The 25,726-nt window shown below is 36.0% G+C and overlaps 1 long non-coding RNA gene across 2 annotated transcripts in view; it reads left to right on the top strand.

Annotated features, from left to right (window-relative positions):
• Positions 1-25,726, top strand: part of LOC105376942 (uncharacterized) — a 150,192-nt gene that overhangs the window by 32,777 nt on the left and 91,689 nt on the right. For both annotated transcript variants that reach the window (XR_940578.3, XR_940579.2), the window contains exon 3: positions 24,236-24,433. This is a non-coding gene — a long non-coding RNA (uncharacterized LOC105376942). The remainder of the gene's footprint in view (positions 1-24,235; positions 24,434-25,726) is intronic.

The following is a 25,726-nucleotide window of genomic DNA, read 5'->3' on the forward strand; positions in this document are numbered from 1 at the left end:
GATGTTGAATACATTTTTTTGGAAAAGTTAAACTAAACTGTGTCTACTTAAATTCCATCCTCTAGTTTAAATTTAGTTCTCACTAGTAATACAGAACCAGATGTTTTTATTCCCCTGCATAACAGCCACCCACGAGTATGAAAGAGTGCTCACATAGTGAGGGAGGCAAGCCAGTGCTGCAGCCCAGTCAACGCATGAAAGCGTGAGCACTCTGTTGCTCATATCGAGAGCTCCACACTATGAATCTGGGTTGAGGCCACAGCCAAAGGCAAGAACATTGTTCTCTTAACTCTGACATCAACTGCTTCAGTAACTTCTCCCTTAACATTGCCATGGTTAACTCTGCCTCCTCAAGGGTTAATGGAAATTTTTGATGAAGACGTTTCTTAAGAGGGAGGATCACTCGGGGAAAAGCATATTCACAGAGAAGTTGAACTTTCTGAGCCCTAACGTTTTGTACATGAGTTCCTAGTGCTTTCTATAAAAGCTGCAAAGTGTAGGCTCAATACTGTCTGCCTTGGATATCTTTGGAGCTCATGGACCTTACTATGGAAGGAAAATAAAATGTTTTCTCTTTCTTTGGTCATCTTTCCTATTATCCAAGAATGCAAACATTACCTAATCCAATATTTTCTTTTCCCGAATTATCCAACTCATACCCTTCTGAGAACTGCTGAACCCCCTGGGTCTCCTGCCTGAAATGCTTTTCACTCACACCCATCCCATTGCATGTTAGAAGACAGAGGTCTTCTCATTCAGGTGTCAGCTCCTCAGCAATACCTTCCTTAACAAAGGCAGATTTCACCCAAAGCCAGTCCTTTTGCATTATATTGGCTATTTTACTTAACAAGGTATGGTTGAAGTTTAATAATCTGTCTTACCTGTTTATTTCCTTTTCTTACTAACATGTAAGTTCCATGGAATTATGAATCCCATTGGCCTTTTTGCTTCCATACGTTCAGGGCTTTAAACAATGCCCGGCATGTGGTGCATGCTCAATGAACATTTGCTGGGTAAATGGGTAAGTAAAGACACAGAACAGAGCTCTTTGTGTAGCACTTTGAGGTGGCTTGTTGAGTTTTGAATCAGGGTCCAATTTGTTTTCTTCTAGCTATGCTGATTCTTTAATCTTTTCTCCAGGTTATATACACCTAGGGCCTTTCACGACATACTTCCAATCGCCCATGACTGGAAATGCTCTACTTTCAAATTTTCATGCTTGAAATGTGACTTCTAGTACGGAACACAATTTGCCTTTAGTTCAGAATATGGTTATGTGGACGCTGTGCTTCAGGCTTAGTGGTCCAAAGGTTTATGGAAGATGTGGAACTTTCTAGTTTTATCCTTAACAATTTTTAAGCTCTGAAAAAATACTGGTTGAGTCTAGCCTTAGGCTTTCTTATGATTTTTTTTATTATTATACTTTAACTTTTAGGGTACATGTGTACAACGTGCAGGTTTGTTACATATGTATACATGTGCCATGTTGGTGTGCTGCACCCATTAACTCGTCATTTAGCATTAGGTGTATCTCCTAATGCTATCCCTCCCCCCTCCCCCCACCCACAACAGTCCCCGGTGTGTGATGTTCCCCTTCCTGTGTCCATGTGTTCTCATTGTTCAATTCCCACCTATGAGTGAGAACATGCGGTGTTTGGTTTTTTGTCCTTGCGATAGTTTGCTGAGAATGATGGTTTCCAGCTTCATCCATGTCCCTACAAAGGACATGAACTCATCATTTTTTATGGCTGCATAGTATTCCATGGTGTATATGTGCCACATTTTCTTAATACAGCCTATCATTGTTGGACATTTGAGTTGGTTCCAAGTCTTTGCTATTGTGAATAGTGCCGCAATAAACATACGTGTGCATGTGTCTTTATAGCAGCATGATTTATAATTCTTTGGGTATATATCCAGTAATGGGATGGCTGGGTCAAATGGTATTTCTAGTTCTGGATCCCTGAGGAATCACCACACTGACTTCCACAATGGTTGAACTAGTTTACAGTCCCACCAACAGTGTAAAAATGTTCCTATTTCTCCACATCCTCTCCAGCACCTGTTGTTTCCTGACTTTTTAATGATCACCATTCTAAGTGGCGTGAGATGGTATCTCATTGTGGTTTTGATTTGCATTTCTCTGATGGTCAGTGATGATGAGCATTTTTTTCATGTGTTTTTTGGCTGCATAAATGTCTTCTTTTGAGAAGTGTCTGTTCATGTCCTTTGCCCACTTTTTGATGGGGTTGTTTGTTTTTTTCTTGTAAATGTGTTTGAGTTCATTGTAGATTCTGGATATTAGCCCTTTGTCAGATGAGTAGGTTGCAAAAATTTTCTCCCATTCTGTAGGTTGCCTGTTCACTCTGATGGTGGTTTCTTTTGCTGTGCAGAAGCTCTTTAGTTTCATTAGATCCCATTTGTGATTTTTATTTGGATTCAATTTCAATCATTTTAGCGTATTTGGATTTCTGGACTATGTCTCCCTGGGGATTTAAATTATTAGTTAGAGTTCATTTAAGTAAAATAATATCATTTACAAGTAAGATAGGTTATGCTGTTGGTTTTTGAGTGCATGTTAAGTTGAGAAATGTGATCACTGCTCAATTCACACCCTGCTAGACAAATCCTAGCAGAAGCTGAAAGGATAAAGTAGAGGTCTACCAAAAACATCCATGATTATTTTAATGCAATTGTAAACAATACTACTTTCTTATAAAATTAGTAATTCCAGACAAATGCCAGTACAATAGGTATAAAATGGGATGGCATTGGGAAAGCTGGGGTGTATCATCACCCTACATACATGTGCAGCCACAGAGAAATGACAACCTCTCCTGTCCCTGTCTGTCAACCACAGCAAAGAGGGAAGTTGAAGCGTCATCCTATGCACTCAATCATGTGATAATTTTCTCCTTTATCCTTCCATTTGGACGCTCTTTTAAAAATCCATTATTTGACCAATAAATCAAAAGTTAAGGAGAATAAGTGCAAATTCACAGTATAACAAACTCCCAGCGACTTTTAATGAATCAGCAAATATACAGCATGCATGTCACTGGTTCCTGCTCCTACAGGTATGACAGACATCCCTAATTGATTCCTAATAGATCTTTGGGTTTCCAAGGCTTCATCTGACATTTCTTTCTTTTATGCATACTACTTACTTTTGTAATATATTTCTAAAAATGTTGCATAGATCACTTTTATGAAAACAAATCACACTTTAATTGCACAAACACTTCTCTATTTAAATGAATCCCACTGTGAATACATTTGTACATATTCACCTATTAATTTTAGTACTATGTAACTATGTCTTAAAATGAATCTACCCTCCTAAGACATATTTATAAGTCATATGCCTCATCACTAATCACCCAAATAGAGGGGAGATCAAGAACGTCCTAAAATGACCAGAAAATCAATATATGCTCCTGCTAATGCCTCTGTATGTGACTTGATCATTACAAAAATCAAGCCCTGGCTAATATGTTTCTTGCCTGTGAATAAGTCAATATAATATTTCTGCACGAATTTCTTTTCATGGGGCTTTCAACTCATTAAAATGACATTTGTTGAAGTTCATATATGTTAGTATTTGTATTTATTCCTTTAACGTGTGTTCATTTTGTTAGACCTGACCATTTAATGAGTTAGGATAACTTGGGGAGCGCTTATGAACAAAAGTTTAGATTGAAAATAGGGGTCTGTACTAACATCCCCTGATTCGTTGAGTGTGGATTTAGAAACTAACTGATATGCTTCCATTTAAGCTTATATGTAATTAGATTGACACTAGAAATTGCCATCCATGCACCATGTCTCAAAATTTATGTATTATAGATCAAATTGCTTACAATTTTAGAATACTTAGGACTAAGAATTTATTCAGCATTACTTTTTATGACAAGGATCTGTATAATCCTACAGATGGATTTGTCAAATTCCACAAATAGAAAACCTTTTTGTATCTGTCTCCTGTCACTACGATAAACCATTTTTATGAGTTTGACATTTGCTTCTAACTTTAACGACCTAGAAAAAAATGCTATCCTTTTTAGTTTGTCCTTTCCCTAGCACAAGTTTAAGCACACTTGAAGAGATTTTATTTGAAGAATTAGGCAGGTCTTTCCTAAAGTCATGTCTGTATTCTGGAAGAAGCACTTTTTATTGGTCACCTACTGTGTTCCAAGCAGCGCACTGTAAGTTTTTATTTGACTTTATCACAATGAATAGTTATAACCCTTTAAATCAGATTCTATTACTGTTCTCATTTTAGAGAAGCAGAAATTAAATATGTTAGCAATATGCTTAACATTTTATGGCACGGCTTATTAATGGCAAAATCATCCAGGTAGTATCTTTCATTGATCCTTACTGTATTAATCAGATTACAATTGTTACCATCTTTGTAAGTATAAAATACTAAGTGGAATGTGTGAACATAATGTAGATGAGCTTTGTCTTTCAGCTAGAACAATGTCAGCAAAGATATAATAATGGTGGCTTTTATTGGACTGTCTTAGCTAATATTGGACCCCTATTTCAGAAGGGAGCAGAAGATAATCAGTCTTAAAACATCTTTGCAATATGCATGGAAATTCTACTATTTTAAAATTTCAGTCAACAAACATTTTTTGAGAATTCATGAGGTGTTCAACACTATTCAGCACCAGGGATACGAAGGTTGAAAATATGAACACAGTTTGAAGGGCTCTACCATCTAACTAGAGAACACAGAAAGTATGTAGACAATTACAGGAATGAAGATTATTAGAAACATTTTAGAAAGCAATTGATAATATTTTGTGATCACCAGTGAGGTGGAAGCTTTTTTGCTTAATTGTACTCTCAAATGTAGACAGTAACTCCATCTTAATGAGTCAGGAAATTAAGATTTAAGGGATTTTAAGCCTCATGCCTGAAGCTATTTTGCTGAGGAGTGGAATGGTGGTGGTGGTGGAAAGTGGGGATTTGAATGAAAATCTATTTGATGATAAATATCATGTTTTTCTCAACTCAATCAACTAAAGTCTAGTTGATGATGTAAAGATGCAAGATTTATTGACAATCAATATCTTGTCCCAGGTAAATTTATCTTACCCTTCCGGAAGCACTAATCTCATCAGGAATTAGACAAACAACTAGAAATAAAGGTGGGAGTTAGGGTTGTAGTTGAAGTGCTTCATGAGAAGGCCAGAGGAATTGGAAGGGGCATGAGGCATCTTGAAATTGATGCTAGATCACCTGGCAGGAAGGGAAGGTCAAATAAGGTGCTAAAAATGGGAGAGAAAATTTATTAACATAATTCTTTTTCTTTTTCTTTCTTTCTTTCTTTCTTTCTTTCTGTCTTTCTTTCTTTCTTTCTTTCTTTCTTTCTGTCTTTCTTTCTTTCCTCTTTCTCTCTCTCTCCCTCCCTCCCTTTCTTTCTTTTCTTTCTTTCTTTGTTCTTTCTTTCTTTCCTTTCTTCTTTCTTTCTCTTTTTTCTTTCTCTTTCTTTCTTTCCTTCTTTCCTTCCTTCTCATTTCCTTCCCCTTCCTTCCTTCCTTTTTTCCCTTTCTTTCTTCCTTCCTTTCTTCTTTTCTCCCTCCCACACTTCCTTCTTCTCCCTCCTTTCTTCCCTTCCTTCTTTTCTCTTCCTCCTTCTCTTCCTTCCTCATTCCCTCCTTTCCTTTTCCTTCCTTCCTTCCTCCCTTCCTCCCTCCCTCCCTTCTTTCCTTCCTTCCTTCCTTCCTTCCTTCTTTCCTTTCTTCCTCCCTCCCTTCCTCCTCTCCCTCCCTGCCTCCCTCCCTCCTTCCTTCCTTCTTTCCTTCTTTCCTTCCTTCCCCTCTCTCTTTTTTTTTTTTATTTCTTTTTGGTAAGAACTCAAAAGAAAAGGGGAGGAAAAGGAAAACCAAAAGTAAAGGAAATATGGCCGAGCACAGTGGCTCACACCTGTAATTCCAACATTTTGGGAGGCTGAGGTGGATGGATCACTTGAGGCCAGGAGTTTGAGACTAGCCTGGCCAACATGGCGAAACCCTGTCTGTACTAAAAAAATACAAAAATTATCCAGACATGGTGGCACATGCCTATAATCCCAGCTACTTAGGAGGCTGAGGCAGGAAAATCACTTGAACCTGGGAGGCAGAGGTCGCAATGAGCAGAGATCATGCCATTGCAATCCAGCCTGGGTAACACAGCAGACTATTTCAGAAAATAAATAAATAAAAAGTAAAGAAAATATAATTCAACCACCAAGCATAGGGTCCTAATATGTTTTCAAGCTACCTACTTTTCTTGCTTTCTTTCTATCTTGGGTATGAGTTAGCTTGTGCTGCATAACAAACTAGCCCAACATGTAGTGTCTTAAAGCAACATTCATTATTTCTCGCAAATCTGTGGGTTATCTGAATACTTCTTCTGGTCTGTGATGGCTTAACTGGGAATGGATGTTTTGAGGTGTGCACATTCACATGTTTCAGGCCTCATATGGGACATCTGTGCCTCTTTCCACTTGTTCTTTTATCTTTAAGAAGGCTATCCCACACTTATTCACATGCCAGTTGTATTCGAAGAGTACAAAGGCAGTAAATTAAAGGTGTTTTGAGGCTTAGGTTTAAACCTTAGATAGAGTCTCTTCTGATTCATTCTGTTATTCAAAGAGAGTCTCAAAGCCACCCATATTGAATGCATGATAGGCAAATAATACTAACTTCTTGACGGGAGGAAGTGCAATGAATCCATGGCCATTTTCAACATACCATATCTTTGTATGGAGAAGTGAAGTTCCCTGGTCTGTGATTAGCGATTACCAATGGCAGATGTCTCCTTGAATGCATGGCTAATCTGTATCACTTGTCACTTCCAATAACTCTGTCACTAAAGAACCCCAGAAAGCAGTTTCCTGTACAGAGCCTGGAACAGTTTTCTACAAAAGGAATAATATTTGTTACATTGTATTCTTAGAAACAGCCACATTAAAGTTGAAAGTTCAAAGATGATTTTCACATTTTAACCAAGTTTTTAAAGTGTTTGACGTTGAGGAAATGTTAGTGTTTCTGTCACAATATTTTTTGAATTATAGAACTGGGGCATGGATTCTGCATCAAATTTACATGAGATTTTCAAAGACGAATGCTGAACAGTTCAAGGAACGTTATCTTTTAAAAATTTCCAGAAGTTCACAGCACTTAACAGTGAGAATTGAAAATAAGCACAAGTTTGCTTTCCCAAATCACTGGAAATCCAAGAGCAAAGATTATGAGACCCCTAGGTCCAAGAAACTGCTAGCTGTGATTGCAAACTTGGTTGTTGCTTTTTCATATATTCTGATTTTATGGCATGAGCCAACACTTACCCTAACTCACACAAGTTTGGTTGCCAAAAATGTCCCCTCAAGAGTATCTTATAATTTTCAACGAGATTATCTCAAAGGATGCTTATGTGTGTGGCCAAACAGGAGTCTGCTCTGTGTTTTGACTCATGCTCCACTCCATGTTTCAAGTTGCCAAGGCTTTTAAAGAGAACTCATCACTTCTACCGGCCACCATGATAATGTCAACATGTCTACTAAGGGTATCATGTCCAGATGGTGCCCAAAATCCCAGGTCCATGGACATCAGAAGAGTGATGGATTTTATTCAGAGATGGAGAGATTGACCTCTATACCAACTGTGTAATATACTTTGCTATCTGGGTGTCAGAACAAGTCTGCCTATAAAATCCAAAGTCTTTCTTAATCAGTTCTTTTAATTTCTTCATCTCTCTTCCCTTCCTCCTGCATCTTTGTAGCTTAAGGGTTCAGGGACCTGTTCACACAACAAATGATTGAATTGAGTGCCTGCTGTAGCAGGCAGACATGTAGGCACTGTCCTAGGTGCTACAGATAGCAGTGAACAGGAGAGGCCAAAGAAGCAGGGCCCTGCCCTCTTGGATATTAAACTTACCCATCTATTTACCTCTCTTCCCCTCTCTGTCCTAAGCTTGACTAAAACTTTCCTCTCCTTCTCTAGTTACCAAAGAAAGTCTCCTAAGGAAAGGAATAGATATAAAAAGATACTGAGTAGTGCAATGGGTGGATGATTGGCATGATTGCAGTAGCAGTCTCTAGTTACACCTGCCAAAAATGCCCTGTTACATTTACAGGACCACATTCCAACAGATTTAGACAGAATGTATTTAAGTCATGTCAAAGACACTGAAAATAAGAAAAATTCAGTTTGTTTTGCTTAAAATACTACAAGTACTTAGTTTAAATGTCTCACCTCTCACTTAATGTGGATGAATGTGTGGGACATTAAGTGGCTACAGGTTTGGTCACTTGATTGAGTTAAAACAAGGAACTTGATGAAATACCCAACAAATGACTAAATTGTATTTTTCACTTTCCATTTGGGCATCACAGTCTTATTTTATGACTCAGGGAGTGAGACTAACATAACTTCAACACAACCTACCTGTGTTATGCCTCAGAGAAAATTATATTCATTGAGTTATGTAGTATTTGGAGAAAAAGTTACTAGTTTGTGTGAATTTATATGAAGTCTTCTCAACACAGCAGTGCTCATACATATTTTAGGTAAGAAACAAAGACTATACTTTCAGGGATCATTTCTATAGTTCGTTAAGGTAAGAAACATGAGAAGGTTGACACATATGACTTGGAATTAAAGAGAAAATGAGGTGTTGTCCAAGATACTTCTTCTGAGATGGGAAATGGAAGATAAGTTCTTTTCTTCTGTGTTGACATATACAACTGGCTTCTCAACAGGAAGGGTAAAAATCTGCATTTTTATTCTTGTTAGTTACCATTTATTCTGTGCTTACCAAGTATCAGAATTTAATGTCTGAAAGTACATTACATACATCACATTCAATTCTAACAGTAAATGAAGACATAGATATTAATATTCTGTTTACTGTATGAGGAAACCAAGGCACAGGGAGGTTAAGTGACTTGACAAAAATCGCACAGTTCCCAAGTTTTAGATCATTAATTCAAAAACAAAGCACTTAGATTTCCAAGCTGCTGCATTTGACTAGTAGCCAACACTGCACTCTCAAATGTGTATTTTGAGAACTGAGTGTAGCAACTTTTACATCATAAAGGCTGACTGGGTCTTGACCTCTGCCTCCTGAGCGCCAGTTCCCTCATCTGCAAAATGAGAGAAATAATGCCTCTTTTGAAAATAAAGATGAAACCATGTATGAGGAAGAACAAATGCATTTTCCAGTGCCAGTCACAGGGTCTGAAAAATAGCATATTATCAACAGATATTGTCTGTCTGAAACATTATATAGAGGAACTATTTCACACCATCATTAGCTAAGTTTCTAAGGGGTGTTGGATTAAAATTAGAGACATGACCTGAGCTTCGACATTTACATCTATGCCAGATCTGAAGTGTATGTTTTAAAAACCTGACATCAAGATTGGCAAGGAGCCAAAAATAAGCTACCACATCAAACTCAAAGGAAAATTTGAGGAGGGCCACTTCATGTAAAGGAGAAAAGTGACTTAATGATTAGCACGTATAAATAATATTTTATCTGCCCTTTAAAGAAGGATGTGTGTGTGTGTGTGTGTGCGCGTGTGCGCACGCACGCCTGTGTTTTGTCTATGGAAGAAATATTAACATATCTTTCAAATGCTTTGCCTTCCTCTTTCTCCCTCCCTCTCTTCCTCTTTCTTCTTTCTTTCTTTCTTTCTTTCTTTCTTTCTTTCTTTCCTTTCTTTCTTTCCTTTCTTTCTCTCTCTCTCTCTCTCTCTTTCTTTCTTTCTTTCTCTCTCTCTCTCTGTCCTTCCTTCCTTCCTTCCTTCCTTCTGACAGTCTCACTCTGTCATCCAGGCTAGAGTGCAGTGGTCTTGACTCACAGCAACTTCCACCTCCCTACCTCAAGCAACCCTCCCTCCTCAGCCTACCGAATAGCTGGGATTACAGGCACCTGCCACCATGCCTGGATAATTTTTTGTATGTTTTTGTAGAGATGGGGTTTCGTCATGTTGCCTAGGCTGGTCTCAAACTTCTGAGCTCAAGCAATCTGCCCACATTGGCTTCCCAAAGTGCTGGGATTACAGACATGAGCCACATACGCTTCAGATCTGGCATAGATGTAAATGTCGAAGCTCAGGTCACATCTGTAATTTTAACCCAACACCCCTTAGAAACTTAGCTAATGATGGTGTGAAATAGTTCCTCTATATAATGTTTAAGACAAGAGCCCAGCCTCAAATGCTTTCCTGTTTATGCTCATCTACTTGTGCCCCTACCATAGCATATTAGTATATCCAGCCAGTTTCATATTTTAGATCAAGTGGAATCTCCTTCATGTAAAAGTTATTATTACTTGGTTTTGTTCAAACTACTGGAGAAGTCTGATATTTGTAACATAAATAGTTTGAATCACTATGACTATTATCAGGGTTAGTTCCCTCATAACAAATATTTGTTTTATAAATTGGAACACAGTATACTTAATTTGATTCATAACTGTGTCCTATGAGGACTGATAGAAGGTACCAGTGACATTTTGCCTGTAACAGGGAAGTCTTGGGGAACACAATGGTTTTGTGCAGACACTTGAAACATTGTCATGCTACAAAGGGAATTCAGTTGTGTATGACCCCAAGGAGTAAAACTAGGATAGTGGATGAAAGCCACAGGATGACAGATTTTAACTGAGTATAAGGAAGAGTTTTCTAATAGTCTCAACTGTCCAAAGAAGCCTCAGGAAGCAGTAAATTAGCAATCTCCAATCTCTGGATCTGTTCAAGCAGAAGGGACTCTAGCAGCGAAAGGGATGTTGGCACTTCAATATTTTGGGACTTCTGAGGACTACTTGCCAAAGCCAAGTGCTGATGAAAAGCTTCTCCACGCTGCTCACAGTAGAAACACTTCATTACAGATCTTGAACACACCGAGGCAGTAAAACTTGCTGCCCCTTTGCATGTTTCAGTTCCTATGAAATCACAGTAACTAACCCCAAGAAATTGCTGATGGCTGGACTTGGCTAGTAAATCTTTTGTCCTAGAATATAAACCCTTTACTAGCCAAACTTTTTCAGCTTCCTTTGATGGTCCTTCCCAATTGATCTAGTCTTTAAATAGAGTCAGGCTTTGCATAACAGCAGGGAAACATTCTGAGAAACATGTTGTTAGGTGGTTTTGTTGTGAAAGCATCATAGTTTGTACTTACAGAAACCTAGATGGCATAGCCTACTACACACCTAGGCTTTTTGGGATACCCTATGGCTCCTAAGCTACACACCTGTAAGCTTGTAACTGTATTGGATACTGTAGGTAATTGTAACAAAATGGTGAATATTTATGTATCTAAACATAGATAAACATAGAAAAGGTATAGTAAAATTACAGTATTCTAATTTTATGGGACCACCATCACATATACAGTCCCTCATTGACTGAAATGCATTTATACAGTGCCTAACTGTATTATTGTTCTTTAAAACTTGGTGTTGTCCTCCTTTCTCCATTCTACCTTATTACCCTTGATGAACTCATGACTTTACTACCTATGCCTTGAAGACTTGGAAGTTTACACCTTCTGAATTAAAACCTATACATCCAACTGTGTGGTTAATATCAATATTTGGACATTTTAGAGGCATTTCAAATATCACACATAAGAAATCTAATTTCTAGTTGCCTTCTAGTGGCATTGTTTCTCTTCCAGTTTTAGCCATCTCACAAAATGATATCATTAGGGTACCCATGAGAGCTCCTCTTGGCATTTCACTCTCACTTGTCCTCCTCACATAGGCCATACCTCCAGCACCTATCTCAAAATCTCCCCCTTCTTTCCACTGCTCTTTCTAATATTTTCAGCTAGAGCACCATTACTCCTGGCCTGGACCACTGTAATAGCATCTGACCTGGTTCCCCTGATTCTACCTTATCCCCGTCAATTCATTTTTTACAGTTGGAATGAGTATTTTTTTTTTCTGTTTCTTTGTGCCTTATGAAAACAACAACAAAAAACATTGATTTTTGAAATAATTATAGACCCACAAGATGTTGCAAAAATATTTCAGGAAGTAGTAATTCAAAGTAATATTTTCAAAGTGCACATCTAATTATGTTACTGTCTTCCTTAAACACGTCTAGCAGTTTCCTAATTTTCTTAGGAAAGTAAACATTGCTATGAAAGCCTGTAAATCCCAGCGTGATGTCTGCTTTTCTATTTCTTCAGTTTCCTTTTGGTCCTCCATCACTAATGGTGCTTCATTTATCCTGACTTTTTCTGTTTCTTGCCTATCAAGAACTCCTTCTAACCTAATGTTTCCTCTATATGTTTTGTTTTACTCTCACTTCAATGCTCAGTGTGAATGTCACATATTCAACTCATCATTCACTAATCCCACAATCTAAATTAGCTTCCTCTATTACACCCTCATGTTTATGTCTCATTTTTCTACATAGCATTTATCAACATTATCTGCATAATTACTTACCACCTGTCTCCCTAACTGTACTATAAGCAACCTTGCTCATTCTTCTGAGATCACAACTCTGCAAATATTAGGTTCTTTACGGGTTTTCAAGCAATGAAGTCTAGAGTGCTCACAGAAGAGAGTTCTGATTGACGCTTCGAATTTGTGAGCGGTTGAGAACTCTCTAAGGAGCACCAAGTTAGACTTCGATTCAAATATTAGTTCTATCAATTACTTGATGTATATCTTTAATCAAGTTACTTAAACATACGGAGTTCCATACTAATCATCCATAATAACATTACCATTTATGGATTCTTACAAAGATTAAATGAATAAAGGCATGAACATGCTTAGTATAGTACCATGGGCTACCTTGTCAAATCTGGGAAATAGTGGTTTCTAAACTTTGCATGTTAGGAAAATAAATCATTCATGGCCACAAACGTACACAAACTCAACAACACAACATATAAATGTTCACCAGAATACAATAATGTTTTGATTAACTCTCCAAATGATATCATCCAGATTTTTACAAGCTCTGTACAAGCAGGAAGTGGTGACCAAATTAGAGCTGTAAAACGTTTGACTAAGGATTGAAGGCATAATCCAAGATGTACAGAGTCACTTGTATACAAGTGATTTTTTGTCAGACTTTTTCTATTGTTCATTTTCTTTCAGCTTTTTAAGGTTGGTTTTAATATACAAAACACAGTTTTAGGCCTTTTTTCCTCTTGCCTATATCTGACTCTGACACACGTGATAAACAACCATAAATTCTCTGGGGATAAGATTCTTTTCTATATTTTTAACCTAAACAAGATTGTGTCCCTTGAAAAAGAACCTTGGAAAGAAAAACTTACGCAGACCCAATGTTAATTAAGCCTTGGAATACAGAGAACATAACAAAATATCCTAAGAGCCAATGAATATGGCTATGTTAACATATTGAAGCCAATTTTTATAATTGTCAATGAATTGATGTATCAGAGACATCTTTTAAAATGGCTATGATGATGCAAATCAAAGCAAAATGTCAGATAAATGCTTTCTGAAATTTCTTCCCTCCATAAAAGCAGAGAACACTGGCAAAACTTGTCAGAATCAACTTTTTCAGAATTCTGGAAATGAATCATAAACTTATAGCAATCCAAGAAGTGTTGTTTCAAGAAAAAATGGTTTTCTTAACCTCAAACAGAAGACTTTGTGACATTCTAACTTGCCCTATCCTCATCTTTTCTCCCCAGCTCTGCAATAGCCTTGTAAACTAACAGTCCATCATCATAGTGAAAGCCAGTATCCTGGAAGCCACTGGAGGGGGCGGAACTATATTGAGCTACTTCAATACCCAATCCGCAGAGAATTGTCATAATGTGACCTGTCTGAGAGTTCCCTGGAAGTCCCAATTCACAACACCACATTTATTTGACCTGACTTGGAACTTAACCAGTGCAAACAGCCCTTTCTCCAGAAGCATTTATCAAAAAAGCAAGCAGGGTCAATTGTTTAACCTTATGAATACCAGAGATGGTTGGTAACAGTTGAGACAACAACAGACTAATCACAAAGCTGAAAGGAGAAAGATGGGCAATAAGAGATCCATAGGGGACTTTGAATAGCTCTGACATATTTTTGTGAATCTAGAAGGCTATGTGCATATGAAGGCCTTTGCACTTGCCTATGGCTGTGTGCATCCTGAAGATCTGGTAAGGTTTTAAGCTGTCACCTCTGGCCAACCACAAGATTCTGTACAAGCAGGAAGTGATGACCAAATCAGAGCTGTAAAACATTTGGCTGAGAGTTGAAGGCATAATCCAAGATGTACACAGTCACTTGGTAAAGATGAGGACAGTTACAGCTGATAGACATCATTAGCTGACTAGTAAGTTAGACATAACAAAGAATACAGGCTTTACAAAATTAGTTCAGAAAAGCTACTAACCAAACAATACGATAATCGCAACAGACAGCAACAACAATAAATCCTGGGGAGGAGAAAAAATCTGATGCCTACATTTATAACTTTATATTATTTTTAATTATCAGGTTTAAAAATTATAAAACATGTAAACAGACAAGAAAATAAGGCCCATATTCAGGGAAAAGGGAGTCAGTTGAACCTGTACCAGAGGAAGCCCAAAGTTTTTACTTCCTAGACAAAGAATTTTAAATTAGTTATTTTCAAAAGGTTACAAAGAATAAAGAAAAAGATCAGAATGATATCTTACTAAAGGCTATACAAATAAAGAGATAAAGCCATTAATAGCTTTTTCATAGCTCTTAAAGTTGTTTTTAAAAGCATCAAATAGAAATTCTAGAGATGAGAAGTACAATAACTGAAATAAAAATTCATAGCAGATTTGAAGAGGCAGACGAATCAATGAACTTGAATTTGTAAGATTATCTAGCATAAGGAACAGAAAGAAAAACATTTTAAAAAAAATGAATGGTCTCGGAGACTTATGAGAGACCAAGTGTACCAACATACGCATAATATGAGATTCAGAGAAAAGGATAGAGAGAAAGAGGCAGAAAGACTGAGGAAGTCATGGCAGAAAAACTCCAAAGCCCAAAGTTTATTAAAAACATTAATATGCACATCAAAGAAGCTCAATGAATTCCAAATAATATAAACTGAAAGAAATTCATACCAAGACACATCACAATCAAACTGTTGAAAGCCAGGATGGGGGTTGTGGGGAGCAGAAAAAAACAACACCAAGCCAAGAATTCTATATCCATCATAAATAGCAGAAAAATCAAGGCATTTCTAAATACACAAAAACTAAGCAAATTTGTCACTAGCTGACTTGCTCTATAAGAAATACTAGGGGGATCTTTCAGGCTGAAATGAAAGGACACTAGGCAATAATTTGAATCCACATGAATAAATAAAAAGCACCAGTAAGGATAACAATGTACTTAAATATAAATAGACAACATAAACATATTTTTGTAAATACTTTTATCTTGTATCTGTTTAAAGTCAATTGCATAAACAATAATTATAAATTTGTGTTGATGAACTTAAAAGGAATAGAAATTCAAGCCACCCAGATTGGAAAGGAAAAAGTAAACCTATCTCTATTTGCAGATGACATGACCCTGTATATAGAAAATCATAAGGAATTAATTAAAAAACTATGAGAGTTAAGTTCAGCAAGGTTGCATGGTAAAACAGTGAATATGTAAAGATAATTTATATTCCTATGCACTATTGTGAAAATAAGGTTAATAAAATGATTAAATTTGTATCATGTAAAAAAGAATAATATATTAAATAATAAATTTAACAAAATAAACGTAAGACCTGTACATTATAAACTATTCCACTAAAAACATTAAAAAGGAGCTAAATAAATGAAAGATATTCCATGTTTATAAGTTAGAAGACTTAATATTGTTAAGATGGCAATACTTTCCAACTTTATCTAAAGACTCAATGCAATTTCTTGCAAAATCACAATTGCCTTTTAATAGAAATTGACAGGGTAATTCTAAAAATCACATGGAAATACAAAGAACACAGAATAGCCTAAACAATTTAGGGTAAAAAAACAAATTTGGATGATTAACTCTTCCCGATTTTTAAAATTTACTGCAAAGCTGCATAGTAATCAAGATAGTGTGGTACTGGCACAGAATAGACATTGATTGACTCTAATGATGACTACAGAAACAAATTCACACATTATGGCCAATTTTCAAAAAGTTTTCCAAGACAATTCAATAGTGCAAGAATAGTCTTTTTATCAAATCGTGCTAGAACAAATAGATACCTACATGGGAAAGGCTGAAGCTTGAACTCTACCTCACACCATACACAAAGATTGACTCAAAACGGACCATAGACCTAACTATTAGAGCTAAAAGTATAAACACTTAGAAGAAAACAGAAATGTAAATCTTCATGACTTTGGCTTAGGCAATAGTTTCTTAGATATGATACCAAAATGCAAGCAGTAAAATAAAAAATAGATTGAATTTCATCAAAATTGGGAACTTCTGTGCTTTATAGGACACTATAAATTAGTTAAAAAGACAACCCACAACATGGGAGAAAATATTTGCCATGCTTGACCTTTGAACAATGCAGGATTAGGGGTGCTGACTTACTGCACAGTCAAAAATCCACATGTAAGTTTTGGCTCCCTCAAAACTTAACTATTAATAGCCAACTGTTGGCCAAAAGCCTCACTGATTATACAGTTAATTAGTGTATATTTTGTATGTTATATGTATTACATACTATATTCTTACAATAAAGTAGCTAGAGAAAAGAAAATGCTATTAAGAAAATCATAAGGAAGAGAAAATACATTTACTATTCATCAACTGTAAGTGGATTATCATAAAGGTCTTCATCCTTGTTGTCATCTTCAAGTTGAGCAGCCTGAGGAGGAGGAGGAAGCTGTCTCAGGGGTGGCAGAGGTGGTAGAAAATCTTTGTATAAGTGGATCCATGCAGTTTAAACTCCAGTTGTTTAAGGATCAACTGTAATATATCTGGTGAGGATCTAGTATCCAAAATGTATAGAGAACTCTTACAATTTAGCAACTAAAAGACAAATAATATCATCAAAAACTGGCCAAATATTTGAATAAACATTTCTTCACAGAAAGTACAAATAGCCAATAGCCACATAAAGAAATTCTTAACATTGTTAGTAATTAGGAACGTGTAAATAATGTAAATCAAAACACTGGGATGTCTTCCAACCCATGAGGATGGATACGATATAAAAGATAGATAATAATATGTGGTAGAGAAATCAGAACCTTCACATAATCCTGGTGCAAATGTAAAATGGTACAGCGGATTAAAAAAAAGTTTGCAGTCTTTCAATAAATCTAAAACATAGAGTTTTTATATGACACAAGATTCCAATCCTATTTATATACCACAGAGAGATCCAAATACATGTCTATACAAATATTTGTACACAAATGTTTGTAGTAGCATTGTTCATAATAGCCAAAAAAATGAAAACAACCCAAATGTTCATCAACTGATGTATGAGGAAAGAAATGTGGTGTACACATACAATAGAATATTATTCAGCCATAAAAATGAAGTACTAATTAATGTTACAACATGGATGAACCTTAAATTCATTTTGTTAAGTGAAAGAAGCCCAGGCACAAAAGGCCTATTATACAATTTGATTTATATGAAATGTCCTGATTAGGCAAACCTATAGAGACACAAAATAGGTTAGTATTTGTCAGAGGCTGAGAGATGGTCTGGGGAGTGATTGCTAATGGGTAGGGAGTTCCTTTATGGGTGATAAAAATATTCAGCAACATGTTGTCACTTTCAAAAGAGATTATGTGAGAGGACTACTGGTGAATAGCTTGTGCATACCCAAACCAGAATCTGGCAAGGGCCCTTAGCTAATATCTAACTCTGAAAGGATTATGGCAGCTACACCAGGTAGATGAGTCCCTTAAAGCCTATCCCGAGCCACTATGTATGGACTGCCTGACTCACCAGTTCCCTCTCATTTTGAGCTCTTTAATTTTTTTCCTAGGAATTGGAAACTTGGAATTTGCTTGTTTGATAGTTTGGCTGTTTCCTTGCTCAGCTAAATTTTGTACAGTATGTTCTGGATACTCTTTGAAGAGTAAGAAAATGGAAAAATAACCTATCCAATAAGTTTTAGCATCTCCAGGGAGAAACAAATAATTTAGCAAATATAACCAATGACTAAATTTCCTAAAACAAAATATGACATATGTATCAGTCAGAATGTTTTAGGCTGCAAGTAACAAAACATCCTTGCTCAAACTGGTCTAGCAATAAATCAAGTTATTATGTCCAAACAGCAAAAATTTAAGAGGTAAGAGAGGTTCTAAGGATGATACCAATAGTGGTATAATGATATTAAGGACACAGGTTGTTCTGCTGTCTTCAGCTCAGGTTTTACCCTAAAGTTGGATCCTCTCATGGTTGCAAAACATCTGCCAATAGCATTTTTTCATTCATTCTAAGTCAATTTAAGTTGAATATCTGCCCCTTTCCCACCCAAATCAATAATAATTGCCAGAAAAACTCGTGGTAATTAATTTAGACTAATGTGGCTTTTCTCCTAGGCCTGAGGTCACCTTATCCTGATCATGTTTTGTGTGTTTGTGTGTGTGTGTGTGTGTGTGTGTGTGTGTGTGTGTGTGTGTTCTTTTTTTTTTTTTTTTAATCTGAAGGAGAAGAGGAAAGGTTTGGATAGGTGAGCAAAAGTCCTTGCCACATATAATTTGATTCTTTATCTAAAAATAGGGCCAAGGATTTAAAATATTGGTTAGTTAGGTTATGAGGTCTTTACATGTATTTGTAAGCAATAAAATTATTTTATTTAAGCTTAACCAAATTTTAGCTTAATATCAGATTTCAAGGCCAGGCAGAATCAGATCAAACCCAACCATGGGGACAATCCAGTGTATAGCTTGAGAGGAAGTATGGCATGATCATCTGGCTTGTTTTGAAATTTTAGAGGCCTGGTTAAAAATACGTTTGCACCCCTTATTATCTGCACATCTGTGGGCCAAGTACTTCAAACCTCAGTGTTAATATTAATAAGAAGGGGAAAGCTGTGCCCAGTTTGTCAGGTTGATATTTGACAATTGTCAAGTTGATGACACATAAAAAGTTTTACCATTTTCACATCTAAGACTGACCTCAAATCATTCAGTGCAGGGATGTCTCCGGAATCCTGAGTTATGTGTTTGACAGGTAGCTGAGCCTCCTGGGCTTTGTGTAACTAACTTCATGGGAAGCTCACTTGTTAACTTATTAGAGCAGTGCTTTCAACTGGCTTCTTGAAAGCTCTTCCCAACATCCCCCAACAAAAATCCACCACAGGAATGGGGTTTTCTTTGTATCACAAAGGCATTAAAGTGTGGACTAACTACATCACAAATCTCCAGCATTTGCTACAGTATTATCAGGGGAGTGCAGTGAAAGCTAGACTCCAAGTGAGAGGTGGACGTCATATGGGCATACCTGGCAAGCCTTGCACCTCAGATGTCAGTGGGAAGCAAAATGTGACCAGGTTTTGAATTATGGAACACATACTTAAAAGGAAATAATTTGCAACATGGATCCAGGGATCGAAACTCTTGATTTTTTCCCTTGATTATTCATTCAATTTAAAATAACAAAGAAGAAGAATATGCTTTGTGTTATGTATCATAGAGTAAAATTTTCATGTTTTGCAAACTGTGTTAATTTCCCCCATTCTTTTGTAGTTTATTTTTTAGAAAATCAATTGGTTTGGGATATGTGTAGTGATATGAATGAAGTATTATTGTTTTGAAAAAATCTGTACTCTCAAATCGGTTTCTGAGACAAAGGACACATCCACACACAAGAGTTGGCTTTATGTGGTGGCTTATCTGTTCTTTATTTATTTTGGAAACAGCCTTTTGAATTTAGTTCCAATAAAACTAGGTATTAGTCAGTAATTTCTTAAAACTGGTTTAATCTTCAGCCCAAGCAGCAATTTAAAAATCTCTCTAATCCACCACCACATCAAAGCTATTTTGTGGAAGCGGTTTGCGTTCACTGTGACACATTGAAAGTGTTCAGCCAGAGATGAAACTCCAAAAACAAGTCATCCTGTAATTTAATGGAAGGAGATATTCAGGCAGGCATTGAAGAGGACAATCTCCTCCTGTTCCGTAAATCGAACCCTCTACCCAGCTAATTATAATTTAAAAACACATACAGAATTGAAGTCCATGGAACCTGCTGCTTTCTATTTCCATTGTGCAAATGTATTTTTTGAAACATAGAATTGCCCCATCCTTGTCACCAGCAACATCTGTTATTGGCACTTAAATATTTATATTACCCTTTCCTCTGCATCTTGCATAATAATATGTGTAATAATATTACATACTAATGATTTAATTTTAGAGCTGCCTAACTCAGCTAAAATGATTCCTATAATTGGAAAAATGAAATATGTGTATAGAAATGTGTACATATACATGTCTGTACACATAGACATATATATAAAATCTCACACATGAAAAATTAAGAGGGGATGCAAAATGTGTAAGAAGAAATTGTAAATTTAAATAACAACGAATGCCTACTGGTACGTTCTCAAACACATGAAACTTGAAAACCTGCTAAATGAAAGACACCAGTCACAGAGGACCACACATTCTATGATTCCATTTATATAAAATATCCAGAATAGGCAAATACATAGAAACAGAAAATATATTACTTGTAGCTTAGAGCTGGGGGAATAGGGAAATTAGAGGATGATGACTAAGGAGTGTGGGATTTTTTTTTGGGAGTAATGAAAATATTCTAGATTTGATTGTGGTAAAATTTGTACAGATCTGTGACTGTATTAAAAGCCATTGAATTACACACTTTTAAGTGGATGAACTGTAACATATATAAATTGTATCCAAATGAAGCTCTTTAAAACAATGCCTAGCTCTATTACTTGAATTCCTTAGATTTCTGTTTACTAATAAGATTTTTCTCATTTTATGCAATAAACACGGTGATTCACAGTTATTCTATTTTATGAATATCTTCTTGTGATATAATTCTGTACAGCTAAGTGAACGTAAAAGCTGGGATCATTTAAGAATGTTTTAATCTCTGCAAGACTCGTAGCAGTAATTGGATTTCCATAAGAACCAACATACACACCCCACGTGCACACAGACCAACCACATTCCATAAAGGAGCAGTCAGAAACTCCTGTTAGCTAACCTCTGACTGTTGTGGAATTATTTAAATCACTACAGAAAGTCTCTCTGAGAGGGGATTCCTCTGTTGTAAATGTCATGGGGCATCCCTGAAATGGGAGGAATTTATAAACACATGAAAACGCCGCAACACTGCCCACAGAACACAAACAGTCTTTGGATGGTTTAGAGCCTGTGGTTTTGTTTTTTCTACTTCTAGACAAATTGTTTACATCAGAATTGACATCGTTTGAAAATTACTATTTAATATATTGCCTATTTTTAGTTGGATGATTCATTGTCTAGGTTTTGCTCTTCTATCTCTCATTCAAAAGACTCTTCCCTCTTGGTTGAGGCTAAATCTGACTGGGTTACAGTTAAACTTGTATATATAATACAGGTAACATAAGAGGCCTTTGCTAATATCTGGTGCTTTCAAAGTGCTTTGACATTTAAAAAATTGCATTTTCTCCTCACAGATGGCCTGGAGTTGTTTCCCAAGAAAAGTGTGAGCAAGTTAGCTTGGCCTTCAGTTTTTTTTTTTTTTTTTTTTTTTTTTTTCCCATTTGAAAAGAATATATTGCAAATGCAAATGTCCACAGAAGTTAACAAATGACATCTATGTGTGAGTTGATTGGGGGAAAACTATGGTGAATTTCAGAGTATTTGTCCGTTCTGAAAGAATGAAAGCCAGGTGGAACCAGCCATATGCTACCATGGAAGATGTCACCTGAGTTTTTGAGTTTTCAAAAGAAGCTGAAAATTGAGATTTTAAAAATATGAATAATGGCAAACATTAAGAGCTAACCTATCTAAAACAGTGGCCTAGATTTTATAGTTTCACATAATTTATAACCCATAGTTAGTAAAAAAAAAAAAAAAAGTAAATGTTATCAATTTAGATAAAATACGTGAATACCTTTTTGAAAACTTGATTAACAGTAAATAGAAGATAAAGCTTTAAAAATTTAGTAAAGACATTAATTAGAATTAAAATTACTTAGAGCTTTAAAAAATTAAACCCTTTAAAGAAATTTTAAATGTATTTGAAGGCAGAAATGAATCATTTCTGTGGATGAGATTTCATCTTCACAGGTCAATGCTGTAAAGACTTCTCTAAAGACAGGCTCAGTGGCTAACCAGCAGGAGTTTCACCTTTGGTTATCATGCAGCTTCCAGAGGCATCCTCAAGCAACTTGGGAAATGTAAAAATCTGGCTCTTTCATTGTTGGCATGAGAAGAGGCGGATTCAAAGGAAAAAGAATATATCAGGAAAAAGTTTTTTTTAAAAAAGCAACAGAATCTTTGCCATGGACTCTGAAGAAAAATGCCACAGGGGTTCTTTGGACTAATGACTCTACCTGAGCTTCTTGTTCAAGCAAAGGCAGGAAAATTTAATTAACAATTCCAAATCCATATTTCTTTGTAATCTAACACAGTAGATTAGAAAGCTGAGATTTAAGTCATATAGCTATTGAGTGGGAAAGCTAAGATTCAAACCTTAATTTTCTGCCCCCAGAACTGTTTTCTTCTCATCTTAAAATCTCAGCTGGTTGATCCATGAATATTGGCAGTTTAAAGCAGCAAATACGGAATTTGCTGTGAACTTGTCTTTCCATGTGATCCTAACCTCTCAGAACCTTATTTTCCTCTTTTATAAAATTCGGACTTTTGTATTGGATAATTTTAAGGGTTTCTCCCAGGCCTTCATCATAAAGGAATAATTATGCAAAGTACTGATACAAAAGAGTTAAATTTCAGAATGACGATTTCTTTTCATCACAGCTGGTTTAAATTGCCTTAAAGATTTAAGAAACACTTTCAAGTAATAAAGCAATTTAGACACCTTAAATCTACGTCTAGCTACTGAGGATGCACTTTCTGTGGGAAACTGAGCACTACAAAAATTCCTGAAAGAAGATTTTATCCAAGTTTATCTGACCTGGACAAGATAGTGACATTTCAAGAGAATGCTGAATAACAATGTTTTGCTCTTGATGAATAGAGTTAATGCTTAGAGACAGATTAGTAATGTAAGCCACAGAGGTTGTGCAAAAGAAAATTTGCAAGGTTGGAGCCTGGAGATTCTATAATACGTTTGTTCCTGGCTCAAATTTTGTTGCTTTTGTGGGCTGATCCCTTCCAATGGAAGATCAGCTGCCGCAGTAACTTAAATGAACTTAGTTGAAAAACATCTCTGATTCCCAGTTGATGTGTGTACTGTGATTCAAAATTAAAAAGAAAACAAAGGAACATTCCTCCTTCAGAATTTCGTTACAAAACTTGATATAAAGAATTTTTGTAGTCAGCAAATCCTAAGTGGTTTGTAAGAGAACTTGAAAAAGTTCTAATAGGAAAAATGGTGGCATCCAACTGGTTAAAAATGAAGAAGCTTTTGCTGTGTTCCCTTGCACTTTCAAGTTAAATAGCATGACAAGGTATATTCCTTATGACTGCAAAGTTCAGATCAGTGATAAGTTATTTAAATATATGCAACAGTTTACTGAATGTTGAGCTTAATATTTTTAAAAATTTACATCAACTTACATTTTTCCCCTTACAGAATTTGTTTAATAGGTGGAATAGAATTCAACTCAATGCTTATCACTGTACATAAAGCAAGATTACATTTGCTCAAAGAGTCTGTTTATGGAAGATAGTCCAACCTCCCTTCACTAAACCCCAAAGAGAATGATGGGGCTAATCCGCCGGTGCCTTGTCCTTGGGGGCTAGCTCTATCATTCTCTCTAGTTTTACATCTAACACATCTCTAATATTTCCACTTGGGGAACTTAATTTTACTGGGTGCAAGGTATATAGGCAAACTCATCCATTAATTTTTTTGTCTATTTTTTTCATAAGTTTATGAACCTGAACTTAAAAAGAAGGGACGTTTTTTGCCATTTTTAGCTGCCATGCAAAACCAAACCAGAAAAGTGTTCCCTTTTAACAATTCACTCCAATGAAGCTGCTGCAGCAGAGAAACCACTGTATAACTTGTCTCATTAAGAGTCTGCATGGGCCTGGAGGGCTTGTACCTTCGCTGCTCAAATCCTCAGCCTGTAATGGCTTTTTCTTCCATTCCTCAGTCCTGGAACTGTGTGATAACTTGCCCAGAAAATCTTCTTGTGGAATCTGTCTTTACATGGAAAAGACTTGGCAATATTTGTACAGCAACTGGAAGAAAGGTCTTTGCTGAGATATACAAAGAGGCAGAATGTGTGTGGATCACCGATTAGACAAGGCGAATAGGAGCAGAATAGAAGAGGAATGGAATAGAACTCAAGGTAAGTCAAAGAAATTCATTTGACCTGTCTTTATACTCCAGTAGAAAATAGAAAATAGTGGGCAGATTGAGATTTCATGGTAAAATATAGAAAAAGAATCCTATTTAAATCGCAATTACAGCCGTGGCTGTTGACTTCCTATGATGGCATTCACAAAATGTAAAATGCCCTCATGTTTCCATGCTGTGGTGAGTTTGATAGTTCTAATGTTTCCTGAATTCCTCACGGAAGTTTCCACAGAAACATAAGACACATTTTTAGTAGCAGGTGAATTAAAAATGCCCCATTTTTAATCAGTCGGTACCACAGAAAAAAAAATGACAACATATTTACAAAAAGAAGTCTTTTAAAAAGAGTTTAGCATAAACCTGAAATATGAAAAATTCCAATATTAGCAGAAATAGTATTACTTGCAGACGTTACTGGAATTTACATTAAGTATTTAATATTTAACAAATCACATTCTTTTTTAATTTCTAGTCAGAAGTCTCATGCTAATTATTTCATTTTTTTGTCCTTTGTATTTTACAGAAGGGTAAATTCAGATTTGAGGAAGTGAGTCCACTCTTTCTTTTACACAACCACTTTTCTTTCTATCATGTTTGCTGAAAGTGTACGAATAACTCTGTAGAATGGAGAACTCAGTCAAATTTCATCTAATGAAGCTATTCGATACTAAGACTTAAACAAGAGCACACAAACAAAAATCTCTGAAGGAACGTGGAAATAAAAAAGGTTTTATTCAGAGCTAAGCCTTATGATTTTGGGAAGATTAAAAGATTGTTCTGAAACTTTTCTGTAACGGTACAGTAACTTTTCCCAGTACAGAAAACGTGATCAATCTTACAGTGGGTAGTTTCCAGACATGTCACTATACCGAGTAAATCACATGATATCGCTGATTAGATTATCTAGAGGTGATCATATTATACTTACAAAGTCAATAGGAATTCAAAGAATGATTGTCCTTCTAGAGATTGTTTAAAATTCCAACTATTTTCACAAAGTTATGGTCAGATAAATTTGTAATATGGGCATTTGAAGAAATTTAGTTTTTCCAGTTATTTCTAAGTGATTATTTTTGCACATACACTGTTAGAGTTCTTTCTAAATAAGTTGGATCTTTCAGAAACCAATAAGCAGTATTCTGGGAAGATGGAAACCACGGTGGCGTTGTTTGCTAAAAACTCTCTAAATCCTTTTATTAAAACATACTTGACTGATAAATAACAAAACCAAAAACCTCATAATATCATTTATAAATAAAACAAGTGAAAGGGTTTTCAAAACTTC

Source organism: Homo sapiens, chromosome 3 (assembly GCF_000001405.40).
Source record: "Homo sapiens chromosome 3, GRCh38.p14 Primary Assembly".
NCBI lineage: Eukaryota > Metazoa > Chordata > Mammalia > Primates > Hominidae > Homo > Homo sapiens.